Source organism: Homo sapiens, chromosome 12 (genome assembly GCF_000001405.40).
Source record: "Homo sapiens chromosome 12, GRCh38.p14 Primary Assembly".
NCBI classification, from domain to species: domain Eukaryota; kingdom Metazoa; phylum Chordata; class Mammalia; order Primates; family Hominidae; genus Homo; species Homo sapiens.
The window spans coordinates 3,228,495-3,247,816 of NC_000012.12; the positions used below are offsets into that span (position 1 = coordinate 3,228,495).

A 19,322-nucleotide genomic window follows, 5' to 3' on the forward strand; every position below is an offset into this window, starting at 1 on the left:
TTAGGCAATCATTTCTGAGGCTTTGCTCATGCCCTCCCCACCCCATGGGGTGGATGAAAAAGGCCCCACTATTGGCAGGCAGGCCTAGAAGTGAGTGCTCCTAGCTCTAGTGCTGAGCCCTGTGCTGCCTGGCTGCAGAGCAGCGCCCCGTTCTCCTTTCAGTCTCAGCGTGAGTTGATGTTGGTACAGTTGATGTTGCTGGGAGGTATCTTGGCACAGCTCCCTTCCAGGGTGTGTCGGTTTTCTGGGGCTGCTGTAACAAATTACCATACACTTGGTGGCTGAAAACAACAGAAGTCTATTATGTCACCATTCTGGAGGCCAGATGTCTGAAATTGAAGTGTTGCAGGGCCATGCTCCCTTCGAAGGCTCTAGGGAAGAATCCTTCCTTGCCTCTCCCAGCTTCTGGAGGCTGCCAGCATTCCTTGGCTTGTGGCTGCATCACTGCAATCCCTCATCTCCTCCTCCTCTGTATACCTCCCTTTGCCTCTCTCTCATAAGGATGTTCCTGTTGGCATTTAGCCCTCCCAGGTCATCCAGGATGATCTCCTTATTTCAAGATCCTTCATATAATCACATCTGCAAAGACCCTCTTCCAAATAAGGTCACATTCACAGGTTCCAGGGATTAGGACATGAAGTTATCTTTGGAGCCACCATTCAACCCATGGCATAGAGCATCCCCAGCTACTGTGGGCACAGGGGACAGGGGTTGGGGGGTTGGTCCCATTTCGGGCCCAGAGAGTTGTGGGGGCCACAAATCTGTACCAGCCTCCTACCAAGGGGCAGCAAATAGAATCAAGAAGATGAATCCCTGCCTTGGGTCTCAACCTCATTGGTCTCGTGGCCTGGCCTTCGAGGTGCCTTTGACTGTGAACCTGCACTGGGTATGTGGCCCTCACTCTGCCTTCTTTCCTTCCATCCGTCCTCATTTCACTCTTGTGTGGCTTCCTAATTATCTTGCTCCCAGCAAATCCCATGTATTCTCTCTCCCTTGTCGTCCCAGGATCAGAGGCTTTCCCCTTGCCTCTGGCCTGGCCGCCTTCTGCAGCATCCCTGTCTGGGGCTTACTGGCAAGTAGCTTTCACCAGGACCTATCCGTGTATTTGAGGGCTGTGGCCAAACTGAAGGCCCTAGATTCAGGGCTGGCTGGGGGTAGAGGATGCCTCAAAGATAGGGCTGTGTGCCATCTTCCTGCTGGGTTTTGCTGAACCCAGAGTGAGAGGAAGAAGGCCTGCAGCGGTTCATCGCACCTGCCAGGCACAGCTGGGGCTGACACAGCTGGGGCTGAATGCAAATGAAGCCCCTTCCAGCCATCTCTCTGCCCAGCAGCCTTCTCTCTGGCAGGCAGGCATGGTTGCACCAGCTTCCGTTGCATAGACATCTCAGGGACCCTGCTGCTGTGTGGGAAGCCAGAGTCCGACCTGGCTCCCCTGGGCTGGATACATTTGCCTCTTAAGCCCTGGGTTGGAGAGAATCCAGGGCTGGGTCCCCATCAAGAGACAAGAGCACAACGGAGCAGTGTGTAGATACTTTTCTTTTTCTTTGTTTATTCCCCCTTCCTTTCTTCTCCTCCCATCATCTGTCTGGGACTTCTCTCCACGAAGCAGAAAACCTACTAGCTGGTTGTGTCCTGCATCACTCTATGGAGGCGTCCCCATCACTGGTCTCTCCCCAGGATTGCCCAGAGCCTATGGGGGACTCTGGGTGGAGATGCTTGGAAGGCCGGTGCCGGTTATAGGCATCACACGTTGTCCAGGAGGATGAATGCTTTTGAAGGTCAGCAGGACCCAAGTTTAGTTTCCAGGACTTCCTGGTGTTCAGCTGGAAGAGTGGATGAAAAGACAGGTCTTCCTGAGGCATAGTCTCACAGCCAGGCTTCCCCCTCCCTTGTGAGCCTGACTCCCCTGCCTGCATCTCACCGTCTCCTTTTTCCCTGCCTGCCTTCACCCCACCACCAAGAAGGTAGTGTTTTCTATTGTAGGGTGGCGCCCATAGGGACTTTTCTTTCATGTCCTGGAACTGAACGTCCCTAGAAAACAGTAAGTCATTTGCTTCTGCAAGCGTAGGTGCCCACGGAGCGCTCTTCAACACTTCGGAGTGTGGTCTTCTAAAGTGGGGGTGGCAAGGTTTCCTCAGCCCCTGGAGACCCTGCCTCATACCCAGGGGTTTTCCCCACACTGCTCTGGGAACTGAGGGGTAAGAGTCCATGCCGGCCTGTCCCACCAGCTGCCCTCAGTTATCTCCTTCCATCGGCAGCACACCCCCGTTCTCATCCACATGCAGCCCCTGCTCCGATCCTCAGTTCCCCCGAGGAGATATCAAGTTGTTGGAAGGCTCACCTGTCCTCGGCCCCCCTGGAGACCCCTGCAGGACTCCCTGGGGCCTCCTTGATCCCCATCTGGAGGCCCCCATTCAGTAGGATCTCAGTGCGTACCTTCCTGCCTGGAGGTGCGGAGATAGGGTTGGGAGCTGGGGGCGGGGGTGTATGCTATAAAGGGCCCAGCGTGACCTACATAAACCTTCTGCCTGGGAAGTGAAGGATGCCTTTAATTGGGAACGGTGCTTAGTCGAGAGAGTGCTTGCCTGGGTGTGTAAGGATTGTGGTTTTTTAAAAATAATTTTAATTTCTCGCCAGAGAATGCCATACATTCTTTCTTTCTACCCTGTGGAGTCTCTTATCGCCGCAGAAAGCAACAGAACAGCAGGTGCAGAAATGAGAGAGGCAGGGGAGAATGAAGGGAAGCGGGGCAGTCCCAAGTTCCCTAACTCTGTGACCTTGGGCCAGGCACTGCCCCTTTTTGGGCCTCAGAATTCCTGTCAGTTCACTTGAGCCCTAGGATACCTCTAGGCAGAAAATTCTGGTCCTGCTGTCACCACTGAAGACATCAAACATGCTCTGAGATGGGGAGTCAGCGAAGACAGCACTCCAGGCTGGACCTGGCCCCAGCCCGAACAGTCCTGCATCAGCCCCGCGTCACTACGGAGAGATGCCGTCGGCAGAGACTGAGAGGGAGCTAGTCAGATCCAGCCATCCCAGCCTGACCATCCCATGCCCCATGCCAGCCCACCCTAAAGAGGTCAACCTCAAGGGGCAGAGGACTGAGCCAGCAGGGGCGGGGTGGGTGGAAATTCACATGGAATTGGCCAGTCCCCATGCCAGGGCAACAGATGTTCGCTTTGGAGCCTGGATGGGGTTCGCTCCAGGTTGTGGGCGGGCGGCGCCTTCAGATGATCTCCCGGCTCGGGTTACTTGTTGGCTCTGGGCAGGGCCTTTCACTTTGGGGGCTGTCTGGCCTCCAGGATTCCTCCCACCTCTGCCTTTTCACCCGCTGTCGCGTGCATGCCCAGCCAGCAGAGCTGGCCACCTTGCTCCTGACGCTCTGAGCTCCCTGTGCCTGGGCCTGGCTCTCAGTGGGGCTGTCTCAGGCCAGGGCAGCGTCTCCCCTCTCCCTGGAAGTACCCTGCTTATCCTGATTGCAGCAGTACGGTTATTTGTGCCCTTGGAGGGATTAAGAGTCTGTAGGGCCTTCACCACGGGCCTCTTCCAGAGGTCCCTTCTGTCTGGTTAGGAACTGCAGTCCTGGATTTTTCTTTTTGGTATGATTCTTATGGGCCTGAGGATGGCAAACTTTGGAATTTAAGTGGGCATAGAATTCCCAGCTACCAAGGTGCCCTTATGACCAAGTACCCGTTCCTCCTATATGGTAAATCCTGAGAAATGTGTATAGTTTTCTCTTAAAAATATCTCCTCTCTTGATCGCTGGCTTCTGTTATGTTTTTTTTTTTTCCTACAGTGAGATATGTTTATTTTTAAGAATGCTTCCAATAACCAGAGGATATGAAACCAGTTTAATTTTTTACCCCACTAAGAGATAAGGAGGAGTCAGAGGGAGGGATATGGACACAGCAAGAAGGATTTGGGTGGGATCATCAGGGTAACTGAGGACCAAAAGCCCATCCCCTGCCCTGATGCTTTCCGTCTCCTGCCTTCTGCTCCCTGCAATTGGTCCATGGAACTTTGAACTAAAAGAAAACTTAGAGGACATTAAATCGGGTGGTTTTGAGGCCAGCTTTGCATCGGAATCACCTGGGAAGGTTGCAGAACTATAGACTTGCAGTTCCTACCTCTAGCGACTGAGTTTGTTGGTCAGGAGTGGAGACTGGGCTGTTTGTTTAACAAGGTCCCCCAGTGATGCTGGCGCATCCAGCCCTCCCTGTCCTTGGAGTGGGATTTGGTGCATGGGTCTGGCGCAGCCCTGGCTCTCCCGTTCCTCAGACACAGGAAGCGCAGCTCCAGCCACTCTCAGTGGGCACCTGCAGGTGTACGTTCCCTGCCTCCAGAGGCTGCTCACTCCATTTGGGGAAGTTTTAGCCATAGGAAGTTTTCTTGCTGGGCCTGGATCTGTTTTTCAGAGCCACACAGAAAGATTTTCCTTTCCCTACTTGGGGTCTGGCCTTCTCACAGGAGGACAGCTGTCCCACCTGTCCAGTCTTGTCACCTCTGTCTACATACTCTCTATTCCTTCTCAGGCTTTTCAGGTGCCTTTGCTGATCACAGGTGTGGGGAGGAAAGCCACCCAGGAATGGGGACAGAGAACTTGAGACTTTGCTGGCTAGGTCAAACCGATTTTTTCCCTCCAGGGCCACCTGTCGTCTCATTCCTTTCTGTCTCTTTTGGTAGCTTCAGCTTGAAGCTACCAAAGCTTGAATTCTCAAGCTTCCAGGATTATGTAAATTAGTAAGGTTACAAGCATGTAAAATTATTAAGTGGTATTTGATAAATACAAAAGAATACATGTAAGTTACAAAGTTGTAAGAAACACTGTGGAATCCACCACCTAGCTGAATGTGGATTGTCACAACACATCACCTCTAGCCCTGCTCCGTCCCTGTCCCATCCCCTGGCGGAGGGCACCCTTCTCCTGAGGGCATTTTTATCAGCCTTTTGCCTTTTTATGTAATGTTGCCCCTCAGATGTTTCCCTAAACGATGCATTCTATAGTTGCATGTGCTTCTGAGCTGTGTAAAATGGTATTGTGCTACATGTAGCTTTCTGTAGCTTGCATTGCTTCTACTAAATATTGTGTTTCTAAGATTCATCCATGTAATGTTTGTACTTGTAGTTCATTCATTTTCCCTGCTTTTTAATATTTCATTGTGTGTTCATTGTTACCAGTTTTTTGCTGTCACGAGCAAAGCTGCTGTGAGCATCTTTGACTGTGTACATTTCTTTCATGCACATGAATAATAGTTCCTCTATGGCATACACTGGTGAAATCCTGCATCACGGGGCAAGGAGTTTTCCTCTTTTGAGAAATGCATCAGATCTCAAAGAAAAGAGCAGTCCTGTTGGCAGGGGTTGTGGGCTATAGAGGTGTGTCTGTCCTAGCCTGAGTAGCAGCCAGGTCTCTGCAGGGAATATTTCCCAAGCTGAGTAGCAAGAGCCAGGTTCCTTCCAGCACTCCCATCTCGGAGCCCCCACAGGCTGCAGAGAATAGCAGAGTTACTTTACACAGAGCGGGGATGAATGGAGCTTGTGTAAACGTGGGTGTGTAGGGCTGAGACGTCCTCGAAGATCTAATTTACTGCCCTGCTTTCCCATCCTGGAACCTCTGCCAAGTGCCTATAAAAAAGATGAAATATTTAGCCAAGATCAGGGAAGGAAGAATCAAGGCAGACTTTCACATTGGCCATGCTGTTGAGAAGGTGGTTTGGGCAGTTTTCTTCTACACCATCCCAGATTTAAATCCTGGCCATCCTTTGATTGTCTAGTTGAAATTCCATGGTCTGAATGAAATCTTTTTGTCCTCACATGCAGGCGTCTTACCTTCCTCTGAATTTCTCAGGTGCACTTAACAGCTATGTTGTAGTTGAGACTATGGCCTTGAGGGCAGGGCCTTTGTTTCTTACTCTTTCATGACCCCCTCCCTCTGCTCCGGCCACCCTGCAGCACTGACATAGTAGTAGGTACTCATTAAATGCAAGCATTGATTGACCTGCCTGCAAACTGGGTGACAGGCTACTTTATCATCTTTCCCGTTCCTTACCTCCAAAAGTAACATCCCAAGAGCTGTATTTCTGGGAGGCTGAGACACCTGTTTTGAAAAAGGCTTTCAGGTGCACTGTGCAGTGAGGGGCACATTCTAGGCCAGGCCTGCAGTCAGAGTGGAAGCGTGGAGTGGTCTGTGCTGCTCTCAGCACTCATTCCAGGATCAGCTGCTGATGGCAGGGCTTGGAGAAGGGCTGAATCCTAGCAACTCTACAGGAAAGAAGAAAAATATCATCTCAGTATCCCAGGTTTTCTCAGGCAGCAGAAGGCAGTAGTAAACAACCCAGAGGGTCCTGAGTTGTCGCTGTTTAGGAAAAAAATATAGGTAAGTGAGGCCGGGCGTGGTGGCTTACGCCTGTCATCCCAGCACTTTGGGAGGCCAAGGTGGGTGGATTACGAGGTCAGGAGATCGAGACCATCCTGGCTAACACGGTGAAACCCCATCTCTACTAAAAAAATACAAAAAAAAAAATTAGCCGGGCGTGGTGGTGGGCGCCTGTAGTCCCAGCTACTCGGGAGGCTGAGGCGGGAGAATGACGTGAGCCCCGGAGATGGAGCTTGCAGTGAGCGGAGCTTGCAGTGAGCAGAGCTTGCGCCACTGCACTCCAGCCTGTGCGACAGAGCGAGACTCCGTCTCAAAAAAAAAAAAAAAAAAAAAAAAAAAAAAAAAAAATATATATATATATATATATATATATATATATATATATATATATATATATATATGTAAGTGAATGAAGGAATGAGTGGAGTGAAGCGGCAATGAGTGAACGAGAGCACAGACCAACAGCGTGCTGTAGTGGCAAGAAGCCTGGCCGGAAGCCTGGAGCCATGGGGTTCGCACGCTAGCATTTTCCTTACTTTTTGGGTGACATTGGAAAAACTGCCCAATGTCTTCTCAGCTTCCTTATCTGTAAAATGGGGCAAAAGTACATATGCCCCAGGGTGGTTGAGAGGATCAGAGGAGATCATGTTTGTGAAAGTTCCCACTTCCCTTGAGTCCTTGTCTAATGTCACCAGGGGCTACATGGATCAACAAGACTGTGTGTGACGAATGCGTGTGTGATTCCCTCACTGAGTAGGTTTGAATTTGGAAGGTGTCGACTGCATCCTGTCTCCCACCCTCTGATGATGGCTGGTTATTTCAGATGGGGAAGGCGGTGCCTCTGTGAACTGGGCTTGTCCTGCAGCCAGTTTGGTGCTTTCCCTGTGAGCTGGACTGTGTGAGGGCTGAGGGCTGACTCCAGCCAGTGGCACCTTCCCAGTTTGCCTGTGTGGGGGGACAGCAGGTGCCAATATGATTAGCTCTGGGGGCTTTGGCCTAGCTTGCCTGCAACAGCACTTAATTTGGGGGAGTCCAGCCAATCTTCTCAAATGAGGACTTGCTGAAGCCATGGCTCATGTTCCAGGATTCCCCTGGACCTGCTGCCGCTGGGGCGGCATGAGGGATCCTGATTCAGGGTTCCACAGCTCTGTCCCTGTGACTTGAGGCTGCAAACTTCCGCAGGGCTAGGGGCAGGCTCTGCTGTTGTTTCTGTTCCTTTAGCGTCCTCTGCAAGCCTGTGGTGTTTGGAGAAGAACAGTGCACCTGAAGTCAGAAGGCCTTGGTTTGAACCCCCTGCTCTGCCTCCTGAGCAGCAGCTCTGTGACTCTGAGCCAGTTGCTTAATGTCTCTGAGCGTCATCTTCCTCACTGGTGGAGAGAAGACAATAATCTCTACCTTGAGGGAATGGTGCAATAATTTAATGTTAATTACCATTTATCTAGTACTTTCTGGGAGTGACAAACACTTGGTAAACACTTTACAGGCATGATTTCCACAGCAAACCTGAGAGGAAGGTGTTATGCCCTTTTACAGATGAGGCAGCTGGAGCTCAGAGAGGTTAGGTAACTTGCCCTGGGCTGTACAGCTGGTAGGTTGCAGAGCCTGTTCACTTCAGCTGCCTGCCTCTGAGGCCCGTGCCCTTCGCTGCCACCAGGATGCTTCCTCCAGTAGATAAGATGATATGTAAAGAACGCCCGGCATGCTGTTGGCCGGATCTGAGTCTCACCCAGCCCGTGGAATTTGCTGAGAGACTGCGGCTTTCTGGGGACTGGAAAAAATGGAGGCGGGGGTAGAGAAGAGACGAGTAAGCCTGGGTCTGTGCTTCCCAGCCTTTGTAGGGGAATCATCTGAGAGTCCAGGCGGTGGGGTATTTTTGGTAGCAGGCTCATGACTCTTCTCCAGGTTCAGCAGGAGGGAGAGGGTGGGTAGTGACGTACAGGGATATAGCTCATTCTGCAAGTTCATGAAAAGCTCTGCAGGCTCAGATCCTGTCATCACTGGGCACCCTCTGGGTTCCTAGTACTGTAGGGCACATTTGAGCAATGTCATACAGATGTGGCCCTGCCCTTAGGGAGCACCTGGTTGTCAGATAGAAACGAGCACACATGTGAAATGACTGCGAGCAGCAGCCAAGGCAGTGAGCAGTGCGGTGTGAGGATTTGTGGGAGGGGCCATTGCTTTGAATGACTCATCAGGGAGGGCCTCCTGGAGTAGGTGGGGCGGCAGCTGAAGCATGGGTAGAATGTGTCCAGGAGAGAGGAGGGGCTGTGAGATACATCAAAAGAGAAGGCTCATCCCAAATTTGGGCCACGGGGTCATTGTATTATCCTGATCGATGTCATCCCCTTTGTCACATTTTTAAAGTCTCCTGTGTCAGCGGCTCTATAGGAAGCCCATCACACAGATATTCCTGGGCTTGCCTCCTGATGGGCTTGCCTCCTGATGACTTACGATCAAAGACAGGCTGGTGCCCACCTACGTGAAATGTGACCTGCAAAGCATTCTGTGAGGCCGTTCTGGTCCCTGTATTTCCCACCTATTCTCCTTATACCAGGGCTACCTCTTGGCCACAGAACAGAGTGTCCCTCTGGCCGGGAGAGACCTCAAGTTGGCTTTGCCAAATTCCTTCCCTCCTCCCTCACCAAGGACACTCCAGTGGACAGCCAGAGCCTCTGCAGCCCTGTCCCACCCGAGGCAGGCTGCCGTGGAAGGGGCAGTGCTCTTAGCCCACTCTTCTTTCTCTGAGCTTGGCCTGCCCTCCCGGTTGGGCTGGAATCGAAAACCTGATTGATCTCTCCAGAACAAATGGCAGTTTTATGATGTAGGGTTTCAGCTTTCTGCAAGTCTCCCCCTCCCCAGGCACAGAGAGGGCAGGGTCAGCTTGCCCCCTTCCCTTCCGAAGCCAGAGGTGGGCATTAGCTCCCTCCAGCTGTCCCTGAGTCCACACAGCCAGCTGCTGCCTGCTGCGAAAGGGCATTGCCACCACCATCTGCAGCTCATTTCCCTGGTGTGAATTTTGCAAACAACCTTCTTAATCATGTTTATGAACTCAGCATACATTTGCTGCAGGTTGAGTTTCCCGTGATGATGGAAAGCTTGGTTATAAAGCCAGCAGGTTGGGTTTCAAAATCCAGCCTCATTGTGGATCCTTCTCTACCTTCCTCTCCTCTTCCTTCCCTCCTCTTCCCTCCCCAGTCATCCTCAAGAGAAGGACGAGACTATTCCCTCATTTTCCCATGCTGTTTACAAAGCCCTTCTCTCTCTCTGGTAGAGAAGATGCATTATCCCCATTCTACAGGTAACAGTACCGAGGGTCAGAGACACCACGTGATCTGCCCAAGGCTCATGGTTAACAGCCACCGAGCTGAGCCTTGAACCCTGCTTCTGCATCTGTGTCCTCTGCTGTTCCCACTCTGCTGAGCAACTTTGACCTGGCTGGCATGACAGGCGCCCTCCCTGTGCATCTCTCAAAGTCTTCTCCTGCCCCACCCTGGGGACATGTGTCCTGAGCACAGTCCGCAGCTGCCAGGGGCCAGCTTTGTGCTGAATTGTGGTTTGTGGCTTTTATTTCTTCCCACGATGCCCTTCGTGAATGTCATTGAGTTTATTAGGTCCGGCTCCTTCTCCTTTGCTAGCTAGGAATACCAAACCCTACATGGTCCTGTTACCCAGAAAACATCGCCGACCCTTCCATGCCTCACGGGAACGGCCCTGGCTGAGAGTTGGGGCTTGTTGGGTTTAGATTCCAAAGCCAGCTATCCTTTATTCCCTGTTCGAGGAGAAAGACTCATGCCTTCATTTCTCCACTCAAAAAACGGGGTAAAGATTCTCTCTTTAAACCCTGGTCCCTACTGGGGCAGCAGGAAGGTGCACTGGGAAAGTCAGCAGAGGCCATCTGACAGCAGCAGCAGATGCACCGTTTAGTGCTTGGCGTCTGTTGAACTGGGCCTCTCACCCATGGGCATGCAGCATACGTAGGTGGGTGGTGGGGCCGCCCTTTGTGTGTGTAACACCTTCATTCCCAAGCTGTTTCCTTGCTTCATGTTCTCTCTGGTTTCCCTGAGAACATGCAGGCCCTCCCAAAGGAGGGTCGGGTGGCCGCCATCTCAGCCCAGAGAGGGGTAGGTGAGTTCCCACTGGCACCCAGCATGGCGTTAGACCTGAGGGTGCCCTGATTCATCCCCTGATCATGCCTTCTGTTTTCCAGGCCTGACTTCATCATCCTGGGAGGAAGAGAGCAAGTGCACATTCCTCCCTTGTGAAAAAGAGGGAGAGAGGCAAGGCGTAGAGGGGTGCCTGGTGGGTAGTGAAAAAGAGGGAGAGAGGCAAGGCGTAGAGGGGTGCCTGGTGGGTAGTGAGTGGTGGGGCTCTGTTCTCTGTTGTCACGTTCTTGCTGGGAACGCTGGGCAGGAGCCTGCTTGGCTGGGACTTGGCCCCTCTCTGAGCCAGGCCTGCCCGTGAATGCTGCCTCCCTGACTCAAGCCTGTCATCTGAAAAGCACACGCTGGCACACCCACACCTACACAGAGGGCAGCACCTTCTTTCCCCTCTTGGTCTTAACTTTTACCCTCATTAACATGATCATGATGGTGCCTGTATTCCCATTTCCTCAAGACCTCCATGGGCGAGCAGTGTCTGCCAGGCAGCCGCCACCTTCCCCGCTCCACTGCCCGAGTTGGATCCCAGCAAACGAGGTCAGAGAGAGAGGAGCTCATTTTTTGCCTTTTAGAAGTAGAAAGTCTCTTTGCCGGGTCTGCTGAGCTTTCATTTGGTCTGAACTGGGTAGAGGTTACTTGCATAGGTCAGCACAGACAGTGGCATTGCTGGGGTGGAAACCCAGGAGTGCTGGTTCCTGGTCTGCCCTCCTGGACTTATCCTTCTGGGAGGGTCATTGGAGCTTCCGACAGGGTCCTGATGGGGAAGGGTGGAAAAGGGATTCCTTGATGGGGAATAAGGAAGGAGCTGAGTGCAGGGGAGGAAAACAGCTGGGGATGTGGAAATTTTGAAAGGGAATAAAGCCAAAAAAACACTGACTATATAGGGGGGGGACGAGGGAGGGCATTGCCACGACCAGAGGTGCAGAGGAGAGGCCTGACAAAGAAGGGCCAGGTGTAACGAATGACCTTATTTAGTCCTCCTGTCCCTATTACTCCCTTTTTTTTTCCTTTTAGCTTTTTATTGTGGAAAATCTTAAACATTCACAAAAATAAAGCACATAATGTAGAGAACCCTTGCGTAACCCTCACCCGGCCTCCACAACCTTCCATTCCTTTATTTCCTCTACTTTCACCCCCTGTTTTCCTCCTCGAGTATTTTAAAGCAGGTCCCAGACATCCTGTCATTTTACCCACAGCTACTTTTCCAGCTCCTTGAGGGGTGCGTTTGGAGTCCAGAGGCCCCGCTGCAGGCTACGGGGAGAGAGAGAGTTGTGTGGACGAGGTGGGAGAGTGTGAGGCCAGGTGGGGGAGCAGCCCGGGAGCATCGTGGATGGTCCTTGAGGCGTGCTCAGCCAAGGGGGCCAGCAGTCACTCTCGCTGATTGAGTGCTTGCTACGGGTGGGACATTGCACTGGGTACTTCACACACTTCAGGTACTCATTCCTCAGCACAGTTAAGAATGGTGGGCTCAGAAGGGTCTGGTGACGTGCTCGAGCTCACACAGCTGGGCAGTGAGGAGGCCAGGATCTGAATCCGGGTCTCAGGACTCCAAAGTCCTGGTCTTGTCTGTCGCTATACTACCTCTGGGGGTGTTAAGACACAGCTGGCACTTGAGGGAGTAGGTGTTTAAACCCAGGGCTGTCTGGCTTCAAATCTATGATCCTTACACTACACCAGCCTGTCTCTGCTGCACTGTGGTGTTAAATACGAGCATAATATGAACTTCTGTGATTTAATGTAGATTTTATATATTACAACAATAGCACTGAGATGGCGTGGACGTTGGAGAGTTGTGGCTTGCTGGCTGTTGCTGTAATTAGGTCTGTATAAAAAAAATAGTAGCGATCAGTAAACATGACAGAATGGGGAATATCACTAGTAATCAAAGAAATCCAAATTATGCCAACAATAGTATGCTATTTTCTTGCCTTTCACATGTGCATGGATTTTTAAACGGATAATTGCTAATATGATGGAGCTTTCTACTACAGCACTGGTTGGGTGTAAGGTGTTAAAACCTTTGAGGAAAATCACTTTGCAGAGGGTTCCAAGAGCCTTGAAAACAGGCTCATCCTCTGGCCCGTAACTGCAGCTCTAAGACTCCATTCTAAGAAAACAATCAGAAATGCTGTCAAAGATTTTATGTGTTAGGGTGCTCATTAAGGAAGAATTTATAATAAAGGACAATTAAAAGCAATTTAGGTGTCCCACATTAGGGAGAATGGCTAAGTAAAGTATGATATGTGTGTGGATAAATGAGTTTGGGGAACGATTAAATGATAGGGGGAAAGTGTTCACACTGTGGCGTGGCATTTATATACTATGTATTATAGATGTCTAATTATATATTATGAACATACATACTGTAAAGTTTGCTCTTTTTGGTGTACAGCTGAGTTTTGAAAAACACAGTCATACATGTGTCAATATAATTTTAGGTGAGGAAAAATGGTATATGGTATGCTCCTAATTTTTAAAAACATATATGTCTACAAATACAACTTCATATGACCAGAAGGACATCAGTAAAGAGTGATCAAACTAAGTGGCCCTGGAGAAACAGCCTGCATAATTTTAAACAAGCACTTTCCTTCTGGGCTCGTTTCTTCCCCGACATTCCGTGAGTGCCCTTATCCCAGTCATGGTCAGCATGGTGGGTGTGGGCTCTGAGCCGTGACAGGCGCTGACCTTGGGTGGAGGTCCCGGCCTTGCCAGTGTGCCCAGTGGGGCTGGGGAGGCGGCTGGGCACAGCGAGCCTGGGCTCCGGTGTGTGTCACTGGGCTCAGTATAGAATGGAATGCTGCTCACTGGGGCCGTGTCCTGGCCGAAGATCAGTGGAGGGCAAAGTCCTCTCCCCTGCCCCCTCCCCACCGTCTCTGCCATGCAGCTGCTTCGGAGTTGGGGCTCCAGCACACAGGGGGCCACTCGCCCTAGAGAAAGAGAAGTCCACTAGTTCTCCCAAAGACCGAGAATTCTTCCTTTTCCTCTGAGTGGGGTCAGCGAATCGGGGGAGAGAACATTCTTGCTCCCCGCCCACCCTGCCACCTCTAATGTTCCTGAGGCCAGCATCAGGGGTCTCCCGGTTAGGGCTTCCTTGGACCCCTGGGGGTGACATTATTCTTAACTTTGTTCCCAGCAGGGAGAAGCCTGTGTGTGTAGTTGGTCCAAGCATCTAGAAGCTGCTCTTTCAAAGTCATGAGCTGGGTTGGGATGGGGTTGAGCTGCTTCAGGGCAAGGAGGCCCTTGCCAGCAGCCTGGGAGTGGCTCTGCCACCCGCCCTGCTCTAGGCTGGTGTGGGTGTGGCCCAGGCCCTGGACATGCCTTCTGCCCGATGCCTGGAGCCCTGGGATGCCACCCAGCCAGCCCCACCTCCCACCTCTAGCCAACAGCAAGCACAGCTCCCATTCTGTAGATGAAGAGCAATAGCCTGGACATGTGACACGGCCAGTCCAAGCTCCCACAGTGAGTTCTGAACAGAGCCCAGAGTAGAAACTGGGTCCCCTGGTGGCCAGGTGTTTCTTTCCCCTTTGCCTGCCAGCTCCCCGAGGATGGGGACTGTCCCTGCTATCCTCTGCGGAGCCCAGCTGACAGCTCAGGGCTGCGTGTGGAGGATGTAATGGACAAGCAAGGGGCTCCAGCGGTCACCGGGCGTGACTCAGGCCTCAGCTGGAGGGGCAGCTGCCACAGTGGGGAGCCCCAGCTCTGCCCTGAACATATTGTGGAGCCTTGGACGCATTGCCCCCTCTCAGGGCCTAGCCACCTGCTGATCTCCCAAGGACTCATGTCTATTCTGGTTTCTTTCCTCCCAGGATTTTGAGTTGTGCTGACTGCCAGGCATCGTGTTTCCCTCTGGTGGCTGCACCACACCTCACACGTGTTCCCTGCTGTGCAGAAGTGATGTGTGGGCCTGTCATAGAGGGACCCTGTGGCAGGGCATCCAGACGGGAGCTCTGTGGGAGAACTGGGTCTCCAGGTCTCCTAACCAGTCTCTGAATCAGCCTGAGAAAGTTGGGGTGTGGATGGTACATTTGGAGGGATGAAGGAGCAGGGAAGATGCCATCAATGGACCTTAAAATCCAATGTAGAAAACAACCCAATAGAGTCATCCCTGCAAGCATCATAGGATGCCTTGGTTTCCCTTGAGCTTTTCTACCGCCTTCCCTGTACCCGAGTTACTGTCCGTGGTTGAGTTCCCCATCTCGTTGTCTGCTGGACTCACCCATCATCTTTCCACCATCACCATCGCAGCCACTGTATGTGGAGTGTTTCTCATGGGCCGGGCACGGAGCTGGGTGCTTTACCACCTCATTGAATTCCTGCCGCAGCCCCAGGAGGCAGGGGCTCCTGTTTTAACTTATGTTTTGCACATAGGGCGGCTCAGAGAAGTTAAGTAATTTGCTCTGGTTTCACGGCAGTTTGTGGTGCACCAGCTCTGTCTGACTCAAGCCCCTCACTCTTCCCATCAGGCTGCACCGATCCCCTCATCCCCACAGGGCTAAGCCCTGAGCCCAGGAGATAGGGCTGTTGGCTAAGCAGCTTAGGGCACAGCCAGATCACGGCACAGGAAGCTTCAGTCGTGGGGACCGATGAGGTGGAGAAGCAGCCAGGCATCGGCCCTCCTGCTGTCACCCTCCCTGGCTTCCTCTTCAGGGAGGGTGACAGCGTAGGGGTTGACGCCCGTGGTCTGGTCTTGCCCAGGCTGGCTGAGGAGGGCCATGTAGGCCCCATTGATTTTCTGTCTCCTCTGATATGGGGTGTCAGGCAGGTGGAGAGCCCAGGCCAGCTGCTCTAGGCAGCAGGGGAGCGAGAGGTGACTGACCTCAAGGCCGCCACCTCTGAGAAGACTTCTCTTATTGTACTACCCCCTGCAGTCATCCTGGGGTTCTGCTGCCTCCACATGCCCTTTAGTTCTGCATTCCTGGGAACCAGGGCTTACCCGCAGGGTCTTGGCAGTCAGTCATAAGTTCTCTGGTGCCTGGCACCTGGGCCAAGGCTGCCCTTTCAGCTTGCCCGTTGGGACTGCTGGGTGTAAGCTTTAGGAGCAGGGCCTGTCTGGGAGCACTTTGTCCCCCACAGTGGACTCCAGGGTGATGGGTGCTTAAGCGATGCTGTTTTTGACCCCAACAGTCTTCTTGGAGGCAGGGAGGTGTCTATGTCTGTGACGCAGCCTTCTTGACCCAGACTCTTGTCCCCTCCCCAAGAGACTGCCAGCCACATGGGCCCTGGTCCCAGTAGGTAAGCGGGTCTTGGCTGGCCTTATCCTCCCCCTGCACTTCCCTTCTTTTTCTGGACCTCCAAAGCCCTTCAGCCACTCCCTCAAGGCCTGTGGACATCTCGGGGTGAGGTGTGTGGAAGCCCCACCTACTCCCGCTCCACCCCAGCCGGAAGGAGGCCATGTCCTTATTCTCTGCCAGCCGCAGCCCTGGAGCCAGGTCCCAGCCCCCTGCAGATGGCGTGAGGTGCGCAGATGGGGGCAGAGGCAGCTGGTGACGTGGGCTGGGGCCTCTGAAGAATGGCCTGGCGAGGTCTGCTTTAGGAGAACGCACTCTCGAGCCACCTCACGCCCCACCGGACCACGCGCTGCAGGCAGACAGCGAGCGCCAGTAGCAGCAGGTCCCACCAGATGGCGATCCCCCAGCCACCCCCCTAAAGGGGACCATGTGGTAGATGGTCTCTTTAGTCACGGTGTGAGACCCGGGTAATGGGGAGAGGGTTTGTGGGGGCCAGAGCTCAGCAGTAGAGAAGGGAGGGTGTGTGGTTCACTAGGCTTGCCTGCCCCAGCCAGGTTCGGTGGAGTCGGGAGCCTCGAGGGTTTTCCCTGCTGAGGCTCTTCCTCCCCTGCTCCTCCTGGGGCAGTGGACACAGCCTCATCTCTCAGCATCCAGTATTGTGCTGTGGTAGTTTCAGGGGCCCCCTTCTGCCAACCTCTCTCTCTCACTCTGTGCGTTAGCCTCTTGACTCTGTGGGCATCCCGGTCTTTCCAAGGACTCTGTAGCAGCCCAGCCTATCTAGGTGCTAAGTGCTCCTGGGAAGAAGAGAGGAAGACAGACCACCACGTCCCCAGGTACAGCCACACTCCTCTCCAGCCCAGGCAGGTGCATTCCCTCTGCTTCTCTCTGGCAGCGCCTGGTTCTGGAACTCGGCACTGCTCTGACCAGACCATCCAAGCGAGTGAGCAGGTGCCTGGACCAAAGCACGTTTCTTGCACCTGCCAGCCGGTGGAGCAGCCCTGGAAGGTGCCAAGCCCATTTCTGGCTCTCGGGCCTTGGCCAGGGGTGGTGCCCAGGGGATGCAGGAAGGATGACCCTGGAACCACTCCTGGGTCTCCACCCTGACCATGGAAAGGGAAGGCTGACTCTTGCCGAGGGAGAGAAATGGTTTTCAGTGTTCTTTTTCTCAGCCCCCTTTTGTGTGCTGCAAAGGAGGGAAGCAAGTTGAGTTGGCAGCCCAGGGGAAGGGAGTGAGGCGGGGGCAAAGTTTCCCCTTGATTTGCCATATGACCTCGGAACATCTCCTTGGGCCTGGGCCACCTGTAAACTGAGGAGGGAGAAGCCTGCCTGCCCCGTGTCCTCTCTGCCTGGCCTCCTTGCAGTATATCGGAAGAATCAGAGCCACCAAAACAGTCATAAGAGGGGGTGGTGGAGGCATTTGGCTGCATCTCCCAACCCCCAACACGCTTTGCTCACAGCACCTGGGTGTGGTGGGCAGACCGGCCCGTGGCACGGAGCCATCGTCAGCATGGATGCTGTATCTTATCTGCATTTTTGGTAACTGGTGGAGGTCTCCAATTCCTTGTACTGGAGAGTCTTTGCTGGGCGGATTTGGGCATTCTCCTGCCCAGCCCGCCTTGCCTTCTGACTGTGGCGCAGAGAGGAAGGTGGGGTGGGCAAGAGAATGCCCAAATCTGCCCAGCAAAGATTCTTCAGTATCTCCCTCTATATTGGGCTATTCTTGCATTGCTATAAATAAATAACCTGAGACTGGGTGATTTATAAAGAAAAGAGGTTTAATTGGCTCATGTTTCTGTAGGCTGTACAGGAAGCATGGTGCCGGCATCTGCTTGGCTTCTGCTGAGGCCTCAGAGAGCTTTCAGTCATGGTGGAAGATGAAGGGGAACAGGCACTAAACATGACAAAAGCAGGAGCGGGTGAGATTGCGGGGCGGGGGGTGGTGCCACACACTTTCAAACGACCCAGTCTTGTGAGAACTCACGACTGTGAGGACAGCATCAAGGGGATGGTGCTACCCCATGATCTAGTCGCCTCCCCACTTCCAGCATTGGGGGTTACAATTCAATATGAATTGGTGGGGACCAATATCCAAACTCTATCACCCTCTTCCCCACCTTTTCCCAGCTCCAGCTCCCCACCCCACTCTTTGAGAGCTCTGCAGCCTTCGCTGAGGTCAGGAGAACTTTGGCTGCCTTGGCAGAAGGCCCTGAACACTGTTTCCTTCCTGAGGATGCATCCTCTTTCCCTGGGCAGGGAAAGAGGCAGATGGACATCTGGCAAAATTTCCCACTTGAGAAGTTTGGGATTCCGAGCCCATTCCTCCCTCAGTGCCAGGGAACAGTAGCCCAATTGTTCCAAACCCGTGTTCTCTGGGTCAGTGTGCCTACATCCCTCCTGACCATGACACTCCCATTCCTGGGCCTAATAATAGCCCCTTTTGGGGTAGGGCAGAGCAAAACTTGAGTTTGTGGCTGTTCAGATCCATCTGGTATCTTCCCCAGCTCCGCTCTCTGAATACCGCCCCACCATCCCACCAGCCTGCCATCCAGGTGGCTCAGAGGAACTGCCCTAGGACCAGGGGGGAAGACATCTCTGCTTTGTAGCCTCACTTGCTTCCTGGGGCAGAGGGAACAAGACCAGGACCGTTCAGGGGATAGTGGCGTCCTGGGTGAAGTGGGGCAGGTTCCAGGATAGATTTTCTGCAATGTGCTTTTGGCCGCTGGGAGGATGGGTGGTCTGAAAAGAGCACAGCCTGGGAGAATGGGTGGAAGGGAGGGTGCCTGTTTTTCAGGGCAGAGAAGAGGAGCAACGTACTGTGCACACATGGAAGGCACCCAGGACACGTTCACTGTGTCGAGCATCGTCGGGTTTATTAAGAAGGTGTCTTGGGAATGACTGTGAGCATGTCCTAGGCCTGGCCCTGAGCAGTTAAGGTTATAGCAGAAAGGACTTGACAAAGGCCCATGAAACTTACTAAAGGCAGAGTCAGAGAGAGGAGCTGCGGTGACAGCTGCTTGTGGCTGATGAGCATTACTGGCCAGCCCCCCCCCCCCCGCCACCCGCGTCCCCAAGTAGAGTGAGTGCCAGTCGCCAGATGGTTGGAGTGTAAGCCAGCTTGGGGCAGGAGATGGGACCTAAAGATGTCTGGGGGTCCTTTCTGCCTTTGACTCTAAGTCTTCAGGGCAGGAGAAACCACAGGAGTGCCGAGAGAGCGTCAGTTCAGAAAGACTTGCAGGGTCTCAAATCCTCTTCGGAGACAGACATGGGCGAGGGAAGACACCTTAAGAGAAATGGAGTTTTCCAGTCTACAGAGTACCCGTAGGGAGTACCCACTGAGTAGGTGTGACTTTGCCTGTGAGCCAGTCTAACTTCACGTCCATTGTCATCTCCTTTTGACGTTGGCCATCTGGTTTTGAGAATAGGCTGGGCGGTTCAAATCTCGGTCAGCCTCCTCCATGCTGGTGTCTAGCCCAGCCTCCTCTCCATGGATCTGTTGATGCCAGTTCGCTGCACAGGCTGTGCTTGTGGTTTCCCTGTCAACATCCCCCTGGGCTATTT

At 53.0% G+C, this 19,322-nt stretch overlaps 1 protein-coding gene and 1 long non-coding RNA gene across 10 annotated transcripts in view, besides 6 other annotated features; one reads left to right on the top strand and one right to left on the bottom strand.

The window, feature by feature from the left end:
• The window catches only part of TSPAN9 (tetraspanin 9), a 209,181-nt gene that overhangs the window by 151,116 nt on the left and 38,743 nt on the right, over positions 1–19,322 (top strand). The window lies entirely within an intron of this gene.
• Positions 1,482–3,584, bottom strand: LOC124902861 (uncharacterized). Its single transcript, XR_007063161.1, has 3 exons — positions 3,463–3,584; positions 2,845–2,979; positions 1,482–1,823 (listed from the first exon to the last, which is right to left on the bottom strand). It is a non-coding gene; the product is annotated as an uncharacterized LOC124902861 (long non-coding RNA).
• Positions 2,767–3,765: an enhancer, noted in NCBI's record as "H3K4me1 hESC enhancer chr12:3340427-3341425 (GRCh37/hg19 assembly coordinates)". NCBI's record gives its function as "activates a minimal SCP1, AML or CMV promoter by ChIP-STARR-seq in naive H9 embryonic stem cells {active_cell/tissue: H9 hESC(naive)}" and the evidence as "EXISTENCE:reporter gene assay evidence [ECO:0000049][PMID:30033119]".
• Positions 6,905–7,586: an enhancer, noted in NCBI's record as "H3K4me1 hESC enhancer chr12:3344565-3345246 (GRCh37/hg19 assembly coordinates)". NCBI's record gives its function as "activates a minimal SCP1, AML or CMV promoter by ChIP-STARR-seq in naive H9 embryonic stem cells {active_cell/tissue: H9 hESC(naive)}" and the evidence as "EXISTENCE:reporter gene assay evidence [ECO:0000049][PMID:30033119]".
• Positions 7,587–8,268: an enhancer, noted in NCBI's record as "H3K27ac-H3K4me1 hESC enhancer chr12:3345247-3345928 (GRCh37/hg19 assembly coordinates)". NCBI's record gives its function as "activates a minimal SCP1, AML or CMV promoter by ChIP-STARR-seq in primed H9 embryonic stem cells {active_cell/tissue: H9 hESC(primed)}" and the evidence as "EXISTENCE:reporter gene assay evidence [ECO:0000049][PMID:30033119]".
• Positions 13,669–14,554: an enhancer, noted in NCBI's record as "H3K4me1 hESC enhancer chr12:3351329-3352214 (GRCh37/hg19 assembly coordinates)". NCBI's record gives its function as "activates a minimal SCP1, AML or CMV promoter by ChIP-STARR-seq in primed H9 embryonic stem cells {active_cell/tissue: H9 hESC(primed)}" and the evidence as "EXISTENCE:reporter gene assay evidence [ECO:0000049][PMID:30033119]".
• Positions 13,764–13,968: a silencer, noted in NCBI's record as "fragment chr12:3351424-3351628 (GRCh37/hg19 assembly coordinates)". NCBI's record gives its function as "represses an EF-1alpha promoter that drives an FKBP-Casp9 reporter gene in an ReSE screen in K562 erythroleukemia cells {active_cell/tissue: K562}" and the evidence as "EXISTENCE:reporter gene assay evidence [ECO:0000049][PMID:32094911]".
• Positions 14,644–15,144: an enhancer, noted in NCBI's record as "H3K4me1 hESC enhancer chr12:3352304-3352804 (GRCh37/hg19 assembly coordinates)". NCBI's record gives its function as "activates a minimal SCP1, AML or CMV promoter by ChIP-STARR-seq in naive H9 embryonic stem cells {active_cell/tissue: H9 hESC(naive)}" and the evidence as "EXISTENCE:reporter gene assay evidence [ECO:0000049][PMID:30033119]".